At 53.0% G+C, this 12450-nt stretch overlaps 1 protein-coding gene across 13 annotated transcripts in view; it reads right to left on the bottom strand.

Moving 5' to 3' along the window:
* The window catches only part of COLEC11 (collectin subfamily member 11), a 49533-nt gene that overhangs the window by 35083 nt on the left and 2000 nt on the right, over nt 1-12450 (bottom strand). For 6 of the 13 annotated variants that reach the window (NR_045659.2, NM_199235.3, NM_024027.5 and 3 more), the window contains exon 2: nt 5092-5247. Coding sequence is in view for 12 of the 13 variants with exons in the window: in NM_024027.5 (NP_076932.1) it covers nt 5092-5221 (130 nt within the window). In the remaining variant the exon portion in view is untranslated. Of the gene's footprint in view, nt 1-3318; nt 3511-5091; nt 5248-5900; nt 6010-7538; nt 7657-12450 lie in introns of those variants that run through there. The other 7 variants (NM_001255986.1, NM_001255988.1, NM_001255987.1 and 4 more) reach the window with 3 other exon arrangements.

The raw sequence follows: 12450 nt of genomic DNA, 5'->3' as shown, positions 1-12450 counted from the left end.
GCGAAACTCCATTTCAAAAAAAAAAATAGCAGGATGTGTTGCTGTGCACCTGTAGTCCCAGCCACTCAGGAAGCTGATGTGGGAGGAGCTCTTCAGCCCAGGAGTTGCAGGCTGCAGTTAGCTATAAGTGCACCACTGCACTCCAGCCTGAGTGACAGAGCAAGATCCTGTCTCTAAAAAAAAAAAAAAAAAAAAAAAAAAAAAAAAAATCAAAGAAAAATAGTTCATAGTAACAACTGGAGGCACGGAAAGAGACCCTGAAAAGCACCACACATTACACTGTGTCCCACAAACTCTCGTTACTAAAGCAGGAGAGAAAGAATCATAAGTCATTAAAAACAGCAAGACTTTCTAAAGAAGAGGATTTAACACACGTTTTCTTTATATCTCTCAGCTAATCACAAAATCCACTTACATGCCATCTCCCAAGGGCTCTGCTTAATGGACCTGTGTCTGTAGTTGTACAGGGCCAGGCGCATTTCAGCCAGTGCTGGGCAGCAGGCACCCCAAATGCCTCACGGCTGTGCCTGCAGTGTGGGGAACCCAAACCTGGAGTCAGAAACTGCTTTCCTTCCTGTGCAAAACCCAGCGTAAGCCCTCCCAGCCTGGTCCTCCTCAGCTCTGATGGGGATTGAACAAAATATGCCCTGGAAGACACCGTGCTGGTTGTCACGAGAAAAAGTATTTTAATCCCTGGTTCAGGACCAACAGCACTGAGGACCAGAGAGTACAGAGGCCTCCCATCCACGGCGGGGCTGCCCTGGTTTCTCCACGGTCCCCGTCGCCTCCGCCTTGTAGACTTGCCCTGTCCACGCATCTTAAGAACCAAGGCTGTTTTCAAGCACTGTTCACAATTTGGCAGGGTTGTTTTTTTGTTTTGTTTTGTTTTTGTTTTTTGTTTTCCAGAGATGGGGTCTTACTCTGTTGCCCTGGGTAGACTCAAACTCCTGGGCTCAAGTCATCCTCCCACCTCGGCTTCCCAAAGTGCCGGGATCACAGGCGTGACCCACTGCACCTGGCCAATTTGGCAAGGTTTGAAGTGTTCATTGTCCACTGGTCCCAGGGGTCATAAAGATGTATGTCCCTGCAGGTAATGACTCCAGAGCAGGATTTCTATACACGTCCCCACTCAACACTCCATGCATTTTGTAATGTAGACCCAGCGAGCACAATGACATTTTTCCCACATCCTTTTCATTTTCAGGATGATTGACTACATAAAGTTCTAATGACAAGTTATTTCTCTACCAGGAGAGGCTAACATTTCAACTGCTGGCTCACTTCCACCATCACCACAACGCAGCTCTCTCCTCGCTCAAAGAAACAAAACGTGGCTGACATTTACTGTTTGCTTGGCTTCCCTGCAAATCATGTACAAATCTACGAACAAAAAGCTTTTACCTAGATCGTATTTGGGGTCATTTCCAACCCAGCTAGGAAGGCGCATGTCAGTTATTTTATTGAGAACCTAAGATACTTCGACATATTTATAGCCAGTTGAGGAAGATCCGTGGACAGTGCTTGACTGTCACGCCACCTGCTTACAAGCTGAACAAACTCGTGTGCCAGCGACTTCACATCCCTGCTGGCCACAACAAGTGCCACGGCACCCCAGGGCCATGGGAAGTCAGAGAGGAGAAAGCCAGGACCTCAGCCTGCCTGGCTTGTTCTACACAAGGGGAGACGGCACAGACAGGCCGTCAGGTGTCAGAAGAGCAAACCTCCCACAGCGCATGTTATTCAGGCCCCATTACTGGTTTTATCAATGTTGTTTTAAAGAATGGCAGTAAATGATTTTAAAATTAATTTGATAGGCCAGGTATGTTGGCTCACACCTGTAATCCCAGCACTTTGGGAAGCCAAAGCGGGTGGATTACGTGAGGTCAGGAGTTCGAGACCAGCCTGGATAACATGGTGAAACCCCGTCTCTACTAAAAATACAAAAATTAGCCGGGCGTTGATGGTGCGCGCCTATAGTCCCAGCTACTTGGGAGGCTGAGGCAGGAGAATCACTTGAACCTGAGAGGCGGAGGCTGCAGTGAGCCAAGGTCGCACCATTGCACTCCAGCCTGGGCAACAAGAGAGAAACTCCATCTCAAAAAAAAAAAAAAAGCAAAAAAAAAATTCATTTGATAAAGCCTATAAGAAGAACTATGACCTTTCATATTTCTGGGAAACACATTTGTTAATACAGATAAATGTTTTCTCACCTACAGCCATTTTTTTAACCATTAAAAAAAGACTTTTTTCCCATTAAAAGGAGTTGTCATTCTCTCTAAATGTAAAGACAATATATTATTCCCTCTAAATGTAAAGATAATATATTATTATTATCTGAAATGGCCTGGAATGGCAAATAAATGTCATCTCAAGCACCACCAGCAGTCAGCGGCAGCCTGACTCGTGTGCTCAGGAAGATTCTCCAGCCAAATGTGGAGTTGGCAGAGGTTTCAGGATCCAAAACACAGGGGGTTGTGGGGGTTGGGGGGGCGGCGCGTGCTGTGTTTCTCAGACCAGATGCCACCCCGTGTCCGGGGCCGAACGGCGGGACTGTGAGGAGACAGGCCGCGGCTTCTTCATCCCAGCCCTGAGCCTGCCTGGTGGATTCTCAACGGACGCTTGTCTAATGAATGGTGACTGCGTGTGTGTCTGTTTCCTTAGAAGCTGGCACTGTGCCGCACGCTGCCTCTCCTCTTTGACCTCCAGCGACCCTGGGGGGCTACGGCACATGCTGGGGCCGGCAGGGATGAAGTCTGCTGGCACACACCATTTTCTCCATTGAGTAACCCAATTCCTGACATGCTGGGTATCCTGAATCCTTCTAAACCGCTCCTTGCCCCTGGTGCTCGCCTCTCGCTTGCGGACTCGCGGGGCACGTGCTGGACGGACACCTGATCTGCTCCCTGGTCGGGCTCGCTGCCTGCACAGGGTTAGTGCTTTGTAAGTCACTGTCCCAGAGCAAGGAGCAGGGGCTGGGTCCCCGGTCACTGTGTGCCCACTCCTGGTGCCACCACTGCATCCCCACAGAGCCCCAAGCTGGCATCGCCTCCCCAACCTCACGGACCAGGAGGCCGAGGCTTGGGAGGACAGGTGACCCGTCACGCAGGACGGCTGACCCACAGCACCCTCAGACCTGCCCTACTTCCCAGCCTGCAAAGGTTGAGAAGGGACCCTACCCATGTGGGAAATGACAGCACATCCAGGGGACCCAGGACGTGGACAGCTGGGAAGGACCCTCCCAACAGCACCTGGGAAAGGCGGCGCCCAGAAAGGACCCTGGAGCCCACCCCACGGCCCCCACCAGTGCAGGCTACTGACCTGGCAGGGCGCAGGGAAGACAACCGTAGGGACTCGGAGGCACCCACCACATTGGGCAGGGACGTGACCTCCACAGCCAAAAGTCCAGCTCTCCACAGCCACCGTTTCCAACCTAAAGCTGAAGGTTCCACTCACAAACCCACACACGCTACCACAAAGTCAGGGCCAAAGCCACTTTCACCAAAACTTCTGAGAGAGCCGTAGGCATCCAACAGTTTAAGTTGCTTCCAACATAATTAAACATTTTCTAAAGCAGGTACATTTATCACAATTAAAAGCACAAAGGCCACTGGGCTTGTCTGGGCTGCAGGACAGTCCACTTGGTTTCCAACAGCAGGGCTAACACAGCCGGAAAAAAGCCCCCAGCCAGAGCTGCACAGCCTGGCAGGGTGGCCCCGAGCTGTCCGGACCCTGTGCCCCGGGAGAGGGCTGACCTTTTCATTTTGTACAACACGGGCTGAGCAGGGTTTGTCTTTCGTGGTGACTGTTTTGATCATGGGTTTGAATCTACTTTTCTCTAATGTTTCAATAAAAAGAGCCGCAGACGCTCCACAGGAGAAGCTGAAGGCCCAAGCGGACCGCGGATGAGGAGGGGGCGGACCGGATTCAGGTTGCAAAAGGTCAATGTGCCCCTCCCCCTCCTCAGGACCCACGTGACTCCCCTCCCCTCCTCAGCACCCACGTGACTCCCCTCCCCCTCATCAACCACGTGACTCCCCTCCCCCGCCTCCTCAGCACCCACGTGGCCGCCCCTCCCCCTCCTCAGCACCCACGTGACTCCCCTCCCCTCCTCGGCACCCACGTGACTCCCCTCCCCTCCTCGGCACCCACGTGACTCCCCTCCCCCTCCTCGGCACCCACGTGACTCCCCCGCCCCCTCCTCGGCACCCACGTGACTCCCCCGCCCCCTCCTCGGCACCCACGTGACTCCCCCGCCCCCTCCTCGGCACCCACGTGACTCCCCTCAGCGGCGGCCTGGACTCTGCTGCGGCCGGTGCAGCCCCGGCCCTGCCACCCGACACTGGCACACACTCTGCTGTCCCTTCTTGGGTTCTGTAATTTTGAACAAGGGGCCCACATTTTCATTTCACACCGGGCTCCCCCAGGCTTGGGGACCTGTTGCCTCTGCTTTGTAGAAGCTGGTCATTTTCTTACTTGAAGATGCTGCTCTGGAGGCTTCAGATACCGCAGCCTCAGGGACTTTCTCACCCATGCCTCACCTGCAGAACTATCTCTATCCGGGAGCAGATTACAGACAAAGCAACAAGAAAAAAAAAAGTTCCTGTCTTTTTTTTTTCCCCTAACCACTAGACCACCAGGGATTTTTTAATTTTTAAAATAAAATATTAAGAGCTCTCAGGAAGCAATGTAGAAGCACACTTTGGGAACTTAACACAAGTTGCAAATTTTCTCTGACCCTCAAATTTCCTTATCTGTAAAATGGTCCACATGAGATCATCTCATGGGGAGGATCACACGAGGCCATGTGTGCAGGGTCTGACGGAAAGCCAGGTGCCTTCCAGCAAGGTCCCCCCGGAGAGGGCTGAGTTGCAAATAAATTGCCATCTTCAGAATTAGGAATTCCATGGCCGAAGACAGTTTAGACATCATGTCACCCAACCCTTGATTTCCAGATGGGGAAACTGAGACCCAATGGGGTAAGCAGATTTGCTGGGGCTTTGTGCTTTTCCGTGGAACTGCGCAGTTGCATGGGAGTCTCTCAGCTGGCCCGGAGGCCACTGCCCAGCAGCCCAGAGTCCAGGGAGCGGTTACCTTTGAGGCCAGGGACGAGGATCTGCACAGAGCAGGCGTCATCGCCAGCCGGCTGAGGATGTCCAGATGGCAGCAGTGACAGGAAGGCCAGGCTGATTAGAACGCCCACCAGGGCCAGATTCCCCCTCATCCTGAGCGCAGGCAGGACACCAACTCCTACACAGAGGAAGGAATAAACAGTGATGGGAACTGCAACAGCCGGGCAGCCAGTGACAGTGAGCAGGCCTCGGAGGCAAGGGGTGTAGCCCTCCTGGTGCCTGGAAGGGCTGTCTGGGCCCCCATGGCGGGTGCTCCTCACTCACTCAAGCACCAATCATGAGCCTCCACTGAGAAGCTTCCACAGCAGCCCCAGGGTCAGCACCAGGCACCAAGTGCATGCCAGCCCTGGTCAGTGAGCCTTGATTGAAGGCCTACGGCTCGCCCACCCCAAGGAGTTCGATCTGATCTCTGGGACAAACGATTCCTACACAGAGTGGAGTAGGGGTCTCCACACAGCATAGCCAGCCACAGACATGGAGCCTCTGCAGAGCTGGGCACAGCGGAGGGAGGCTGAGATACAGCTAAAGGAAACAGCCAAGGCGCCTGAGGAGCCCCAAGCTTAGCGGCTCCATTCACAGACAAGGAATCCACGCCCCCACATCTCCTTAGGTGGCAGGAGACAGGCACCTGGCCTTCCTCGGTGAGATCAGTAAGGAGAGAGGAGCCCCGGCCTTAGGAACCCAGGGGCCTGGGGAGGTGGGGGCCGAGCCCATAGGAAGAGGGGTGTCATGGACATCTGACCATCCCAGGAGGGGCGGGTACGTGCTGACCTCTTTGTTTCTTCATCGTGAAGGGCGTTACAACTTGGAAAACAAGACCAGGCGCAGTGGCTCACACCTGTAATTCCAGCACTTTGGGAGGCTGAGGTGGGCAGATCACCTAAAGTCGGGAGTTCGAGACCAGTCTGGACAACATGGTGAAACCGCATGTCTTCTAAAAATACAAAAATTAGCTGGGTGTGGTGGCGGGCACCTCTAATCCCAGCTACTTGGGAGGCTGAGGCAGGAGAACTGCTTGAACCCAGGAGGCGGAGGTTGCAGTGACCTGAGATCACGCCACTACACTCCAGCCTGCATGACAGCGAGACTCCGTCCCAAAAAAAAATAAAATATAATAAATAAATAAAACTCGGAAAACAAAGAGGGCAATGGAAACTACTCAACTTGAAGGGAGAGGCCCGGGAAACAGAGGGAAAGGGACAGGAGGGGAGAGAGGGACAGGCCAGAAGGGCAGAGTGCGGACAGCAGCCCTGGAGCACAGCTGATAAAGAGCCGTGGCGAGCTGGGACTGGGGCTCCGCAGAGCATGGAAGCCACAGGAGCATCTGTCCATCCCAAAGGCCATGCTTCCGGATACTTCCTGGCAGCCTTTCGTTTGGTTAATCATTCGTTCAGAAACATTTGTGGATGCCGACCAAATGTCAGGCACAGCTCTAGGCACCAGGAGTAGAGCAAGAACATTTATGTTTTTATTCCTATTGGAAGAGACAGACAGACAGACAGACAGAGACAGACAGAGGCAGGGGTAAGCGCCGTGGGGAAGAGTGAGGCAGAGTCCAGTGGCCGGGACACATGCTGCTGTTCAGGATGGTTGCCAGGGAAGCCTCGCTGACAGGTGGGTGAGGGCGGCTCAGAGAAAGCCTTGAGGCAGTGCATGCCGGACAGTGCGGGGAGAGGTGGGCTGGCCTGGTGGGCACAGAGGACAGGAGACAGGAGCCGGCGCCCAGCAGCTTTGGGGGTTGCTCTGTATGAGACAGAGGGTCTGGATCAGCGAGCGGCTTTACAAAAGGGTCTCCCTGCTCTTGAGACGGGACTTAGGGGAACAGCAACGGAAGCAAGGAGACCAAGCCAGGGTGACCACAACAGCACAGCGGGCGAGGATGGCAGCTGGACCCCACGTGTGGGTGGAGGTGATGACAGAGGTATGGGATGCAGTCTGGAAGCAAAGCTGACAGGTTTTGCTGATCAGTTATGTGGGAAATGACAGAGAGAAATCAAAGATTAAAGCTTTTGTTCTGAGCAGCCAGGTGAACAGTGCAGCCAGCTGCTGAGAAACAGAACTGAGGAGGTGAAGTGAAGTCAGGGGCTCGGGTTCAACTTTCCGAGTCTGAGACACTATAGACTCCTATGTGACCCAGTGGGTGGAGCAATGGTTCGGTTTGCAAGGCTTGGGGGTCAGGGTACCCTCCATTTTCTCTCCCACAATTCCAAGCCAGCTGGCCCTCTCAGGTCCAAAATGAAGGTCACCTTAGCTGCTAGAGAAAGGCCATCTGTGGTGGGGGGCTTCCCACATCAACAGCCCCGTGAGAGCCCTGCTACAAAAGCCAGGGGAGGGTGGTCCGGACAGATCCCGAAAGCCAGGGCCCCATGGAGTCTACAGAGACCCCGCCTCTGGCTGGCGAGAGCCCACCTTTGCCACCTGATGTCCTGCTGCACGAGGAGTTCTCCCAGAAATGTGTGGAGGTCAAGATGCCCAAGATAGCCCTGCAGCTCGAAGGGAAGTCATTTGAAATCCTTCTCCCAAATCTGAAAAAAATCGCCTCCAATGGTCACAGACAAAAAGATGACGTGGAGACGGCTAGGGTTACTGCCATGAACATTCCATGTTAAATGTCCGTTTCCACTGAGGCAAGGGTTGATGAAGGGGCGGGGCGGGAAGGGAGAGAGGATTAGAGTTAGGGCGGAGCCAGGGCTTGGGCACGCGCGTGGGAGAGCTTCACTTGCCGAAGATGACAGAACTTAAATCCTACCTCTGTGAAAACCTACAGACCTTAAAGCTGAAGCCGTCTCTCATCCCGGATGTCCAAGAATGGCTCGGGGGAAAAAAGGTACTATAAAGCACAAAGTCACAGTGGCTCACGCCTGTAATCCCAGCACTTTGGAAGGCCAAGGCCAGCAGATTGCTTGAGTCCAGGAGTTTGAGATCAGCCTGGGCAACATGGCTAAACCCCATCTCTACAAAAAAGCAGCCAGGTGTAGTGTCACGCACCTGTAGTCCCAGCTACTGGAGAGGCTGAAGTGGGAGCATCACCTGAGCCTGGGAAGTTGAGGCTGCAGTGAGCGGTGATCACACCACTGCACTCCAACCCGGGCAGTCAGAGTGAGACCCTGTCTCAAAAAAAATAATAATAATAAAGAAAAATCCAAAAGCTCAAAGTCACAAAAAGTAAACCCATGAGCTTTGGCTACACTATGATGGTCTACATGGTCCGCACACCACCCTGTCCACGGCGACCCTACTCAAATCCCGGCTCCACTGCCACCACGCCGAGGCCCCCTGCCCGTGTGGGAAGGGTGGTGGAAAAAGGGGTTAATTCAGAAACTGCCCACATCCCCCTTTCTTCAAACATCCTACAAGAATCCACGAGGAATCAGAAGTAGAGATGACTTCACAAAGCACAGGAGTGGAAAGGCCAAGAGGAAAGTGGGGGCTCCCGACTCTTCTGAGAAGGGGCGTGGATGGGAGCCCGCCCCGTGCAGTGACACAGCCATCACGGGGCCGGGCATTGTCCTGCTGAGGCTCTCATCATTCTTAACATTTATAATGGAAAATGTCAGATACACACAAAAGCAGTACCATGAACTTCCATATACCCATTGCCCAGCTTCAACAATTATTAATACCTCAAGGTGTCATTTTTGATGTTCACTTTCTAGTTCATTAGGAGTTAATGTGTGTATACAACTACACAATGACGAGGTCTAACCACACAGCAGACACTGGTGAGTGCACCTGCCTCACCGGCCCCAAAGCCCCAGCCCCGCTCCCATCCACGCGCCCTCCCCTGGGGGACGCCATCCTGAATGCGAACTTCTCCTCTGGCGGGGTTTAAGCAGGATTCCTACACATTATGCGTTCTTAAACCATATTCTGTCACGTTTTGCTTGTGTTTGGTTTTGGGACAGGACTGGAGTGCAGTAGTGCATCTTGGCTCACTGCAGCCTCAATTTCCTGGGCTCAGGGGATCCTCCCACCTCAGCCTCCCTGGTAGCTGAGACTACAGGCATGTACCACCATGTCTGGGCAATTTTTGTCTTTTTTGTAGAGACAGGTTCTCACCATGTTGCCCAGGCTGGTCTCAAACTCCTGGGCTGAAGTGATCTGCCTCTCTCGGCCTCCCAAGCTGCTGGGACTACAGGTGTGAGCCACTGTGCCCAGCCTTGCTTGCTTTTGAGTTTTGCTTTTTTTTTTTTTTTTTGAGACAGAGTCTCGCACTGTCACCCAGGCTGGGGTGCAGTGGCTCGATCTCAGCTCACTGCAAGCTCTGCCTCCCGGGTTCACGCCATTCTCCCGCCTCAGCTTCGCAAGTAGCTGGGACTACAGCTGCCCGCCACCACGCCTGGCTAATTTTGTGTATTTTTAGTAGAGAAGGGGTTTCACCGTGTTGGCTAGAATGGTCTCCATCTCCTGACCTCATGATCCACCCACCTCGGCCTCCCAAAGTGCTGCGATTACAGGCTTGAGCCACCGTGCCTGGCCGCTTTTGAGTTTTATAAGATATCACAGCACAGTATCCATAGTCTTCAGTGTCTTTATATTCAACTTTATGTAGTTGTAGCTTATGGATTATCTAATCTTATTAAGGCAGACTGCATGCCACTGACGGGTGCTGGGAGAGGAAGGGCACAGCTGGTGGCGTGGAGCTCACCCTCATGACTGTGGGGCCAGTAGGCCAGTGCTTGCCTCCCTGGGCCATGGAGGGGCCATGGCACTGCCCAGAGACCTCCCGGGACTTGGCATCCTGAGGGCAGTGGGTGAGGGACAGCTACAAATCCACTGAACCACTTACCAGCACCTTGGCCACACCACATGCCGTTTGCAAGCCCCTCCCCTTCTCTTAATATGGAGATAGGCTATTTGAAGGGATTGCAGCGGTAATTAATGCGTGTGGCACCGTGACCCAGTGTGGCACATAGCAAATGCTCACCAAATGGCAGCTCCTGATCCTACTGTGATCACATGCATGGGCTCCCAGTCCAGGGAAAGGGCTAGAAGCCAGGGTTCCTCATCTGAGAATGCCTGTCCCCCGCACAGTGCCTCTGCGTCAGTCAATTCTCCCGCAGAATGGGTACAGGGAAACCCGTTTCCATTCAGTGCCGTCCTGTGGTGTGGGTCATCGCGCACCAGATGAGGACCTGGCTTCTTCCTGCAGAGCCCCTTACAGAAATGACTTTGTAAAGGACAGGGGTACAGAACGTCCACTGGGTTGGAGGAAAATAACTCCCATACACTGCACAGAGATCAGCACCATCACGCACTCGTCACAGATGAGGAAGCCAAAGAAAAGAAAAATTAAGAACGCTTCCCAGCATTGCGTAACCAGTGTGTGGTGAGGGTGGGACTGAAATCCAGGGCTTCCCAGCACTGTTGGCTGTTTCCTCTTTCTGCCCGACTACCCTCTCCCCATGCATCAAAGGAAGGGCTCACCTTCCTCCTTCAGTCACGATGTAAGGGATTTTTAAAAATAGGTTTTTGATGGAGAGAACAAGGAGCCAATATACGTTGTATACCAAATGTGGACACATATCTGATTTAATTCCCAAAACAACCTTGTACCTTATTACAGTTCCTCACTCTAAAGACAATGCAATATGGAAAGTTGAACAATCGGCCCCAACTCCACCACCAGGCCACGCAGCTGGGCACTCCGCCTGCAGCCTCCTCTCCACACCCCGCACCCACGGCCCGCCTCCAGCCTCCTCTCCACACCCCTCACCCACGGTCCGCCTCCAGCCTCCTCTCCACACCCCTCACCCGCTGCCTGTGCCCACACCCTTCTCCCCTGTGCTCACGCGGATATTAGAACAATAAGGGCAACCGAAAAGCGGAAACCCAGGACCCCACCAGCTGACTTCACTCCTCCCACCTTCCTTGTTCGCTGCCAGGCTTGGGTCCACATGCAAGTGATCTGTGCAAGCTACAGCTTCGTAAAGGTCTCTGGGCACGCAGAAGCCTGCAGTTTAGCAGGCACCAAACTGAGTGAACAAGTGAATGAGTAAATAAAGGAACAAACAACAGAACGAAAGTTCACAATTGCATCGCAAATAGAGCCTTCTGCTCTTCTCCTCGTGGTGTTTCCGTGTTTCCAAATCTTTATTATATCTAATGTCTACACAGTATTTCCAGGGCAGGCAGTCTGCAGACGTGGGTTACTGCCCTGCTGTCATTGTCCTGAAATTCCTAATAATGTTGAAATGGGCCAAGCACAGTGGCTCACGTTTGTAATCCCACCACTTTGGGAGGCCGAGGTGGGTGGATCACCTGAGGTCAGGAGTTCGAGACCAGCCTGGCCAACATGGTGAAACCCTGTCTCTACTAAAAATACAAAAATTAGCTGGGCATGGTGGCGGGTGCCTGGAATTCCAGTGACTCGGGAGGCTGAGGCAGGAGAATCGCTTGAACCCGGGAGGTGGAGGTTGCAGTGAGTCGAGATCACACCACTGCCCTCTAGCCTGAGTGATAAGAGTGAGACTCAGTCTCAAAAAAATGAAATAAATAAAATAAAATAAAAATAAAAAATACAAAAATAATGTCAAAACAAGGGGCACCACAAGGTTTGTAGCCAGACGTGCTGGTCCACTGGGCTCATAACCGTAGTCTCCCCGGCTCCTGCCTCAGCAGCAGTATTTTGGCTCCTTGTGGTATGTGGCTTCTGAAAGCAATAGTAAACTCTTCCTCCCCACCCACTCAGTACGCAAGTCGAACCTCACTTCTCAGTGTTTGCTGGATGCAAACTGGGTTTAGTTTTTTTTTTTTTTAATGTCTCAGGAATCAAAGGCTGACATGGGAATTTCCCCTCTAGCTAGAAGTGATTCTGTTCAGGTATAACCAGGTGTTCAGCAAGGCTTTTACTGCCCTCACTCCGCAGATGTCCCAGGAGTGGCTTCAACAAAGATCAGGCTCCGTCTCCCAAGAAAAGGGGTGAGTAGTGAGCAGAGAAACCCAGAGCAGCCCAGGCAGGATTTCTCGTGCCTTCACTCACACTCATCTGCTGATCCCAGAGCAGCCCAGGCGGGATTTCTCGTGCCTTCACTCCATTCATCCGCTGACCCCGGAGCAGCCCAGGTGGGATTTCTCATGCCTTCACTCCATTCATTCACTGACACCAGAGCAGCCCAGGTGGGATTTCTCGTGCCTTCACTCACACTCATCTGCTGATCCCGGAGCAGCCCAGGCTGGGATTTCTCGTGCCTTCACTCCATTCATTCACTGACCCCGGAGCAGCCCAGGCCGGGATTTCTTGTGCCTTCACTCCATTCATTCACTGACCCCGGAGCAGCACAGGCTGGGATTTCTTGTGCCTTCCCTCACTTCACTCATC

This window comes from Homo sapiens, chromosome 2 (assembly GCF_000001405.40).
Source record: "Homo sapiens chromosome 2, GRCh38.p14 Primary Assembly".
NCBI lineage: Eukaryota > Metazoa > Chordata > Mammalia > Primates > Hominidae > Homo > Homo sapiens.
The sequence above is the reverse complement of the archived record's forward strand: the minus strand, read 5'-3'. Positions and strand labels throughout refer to the sequence as shown.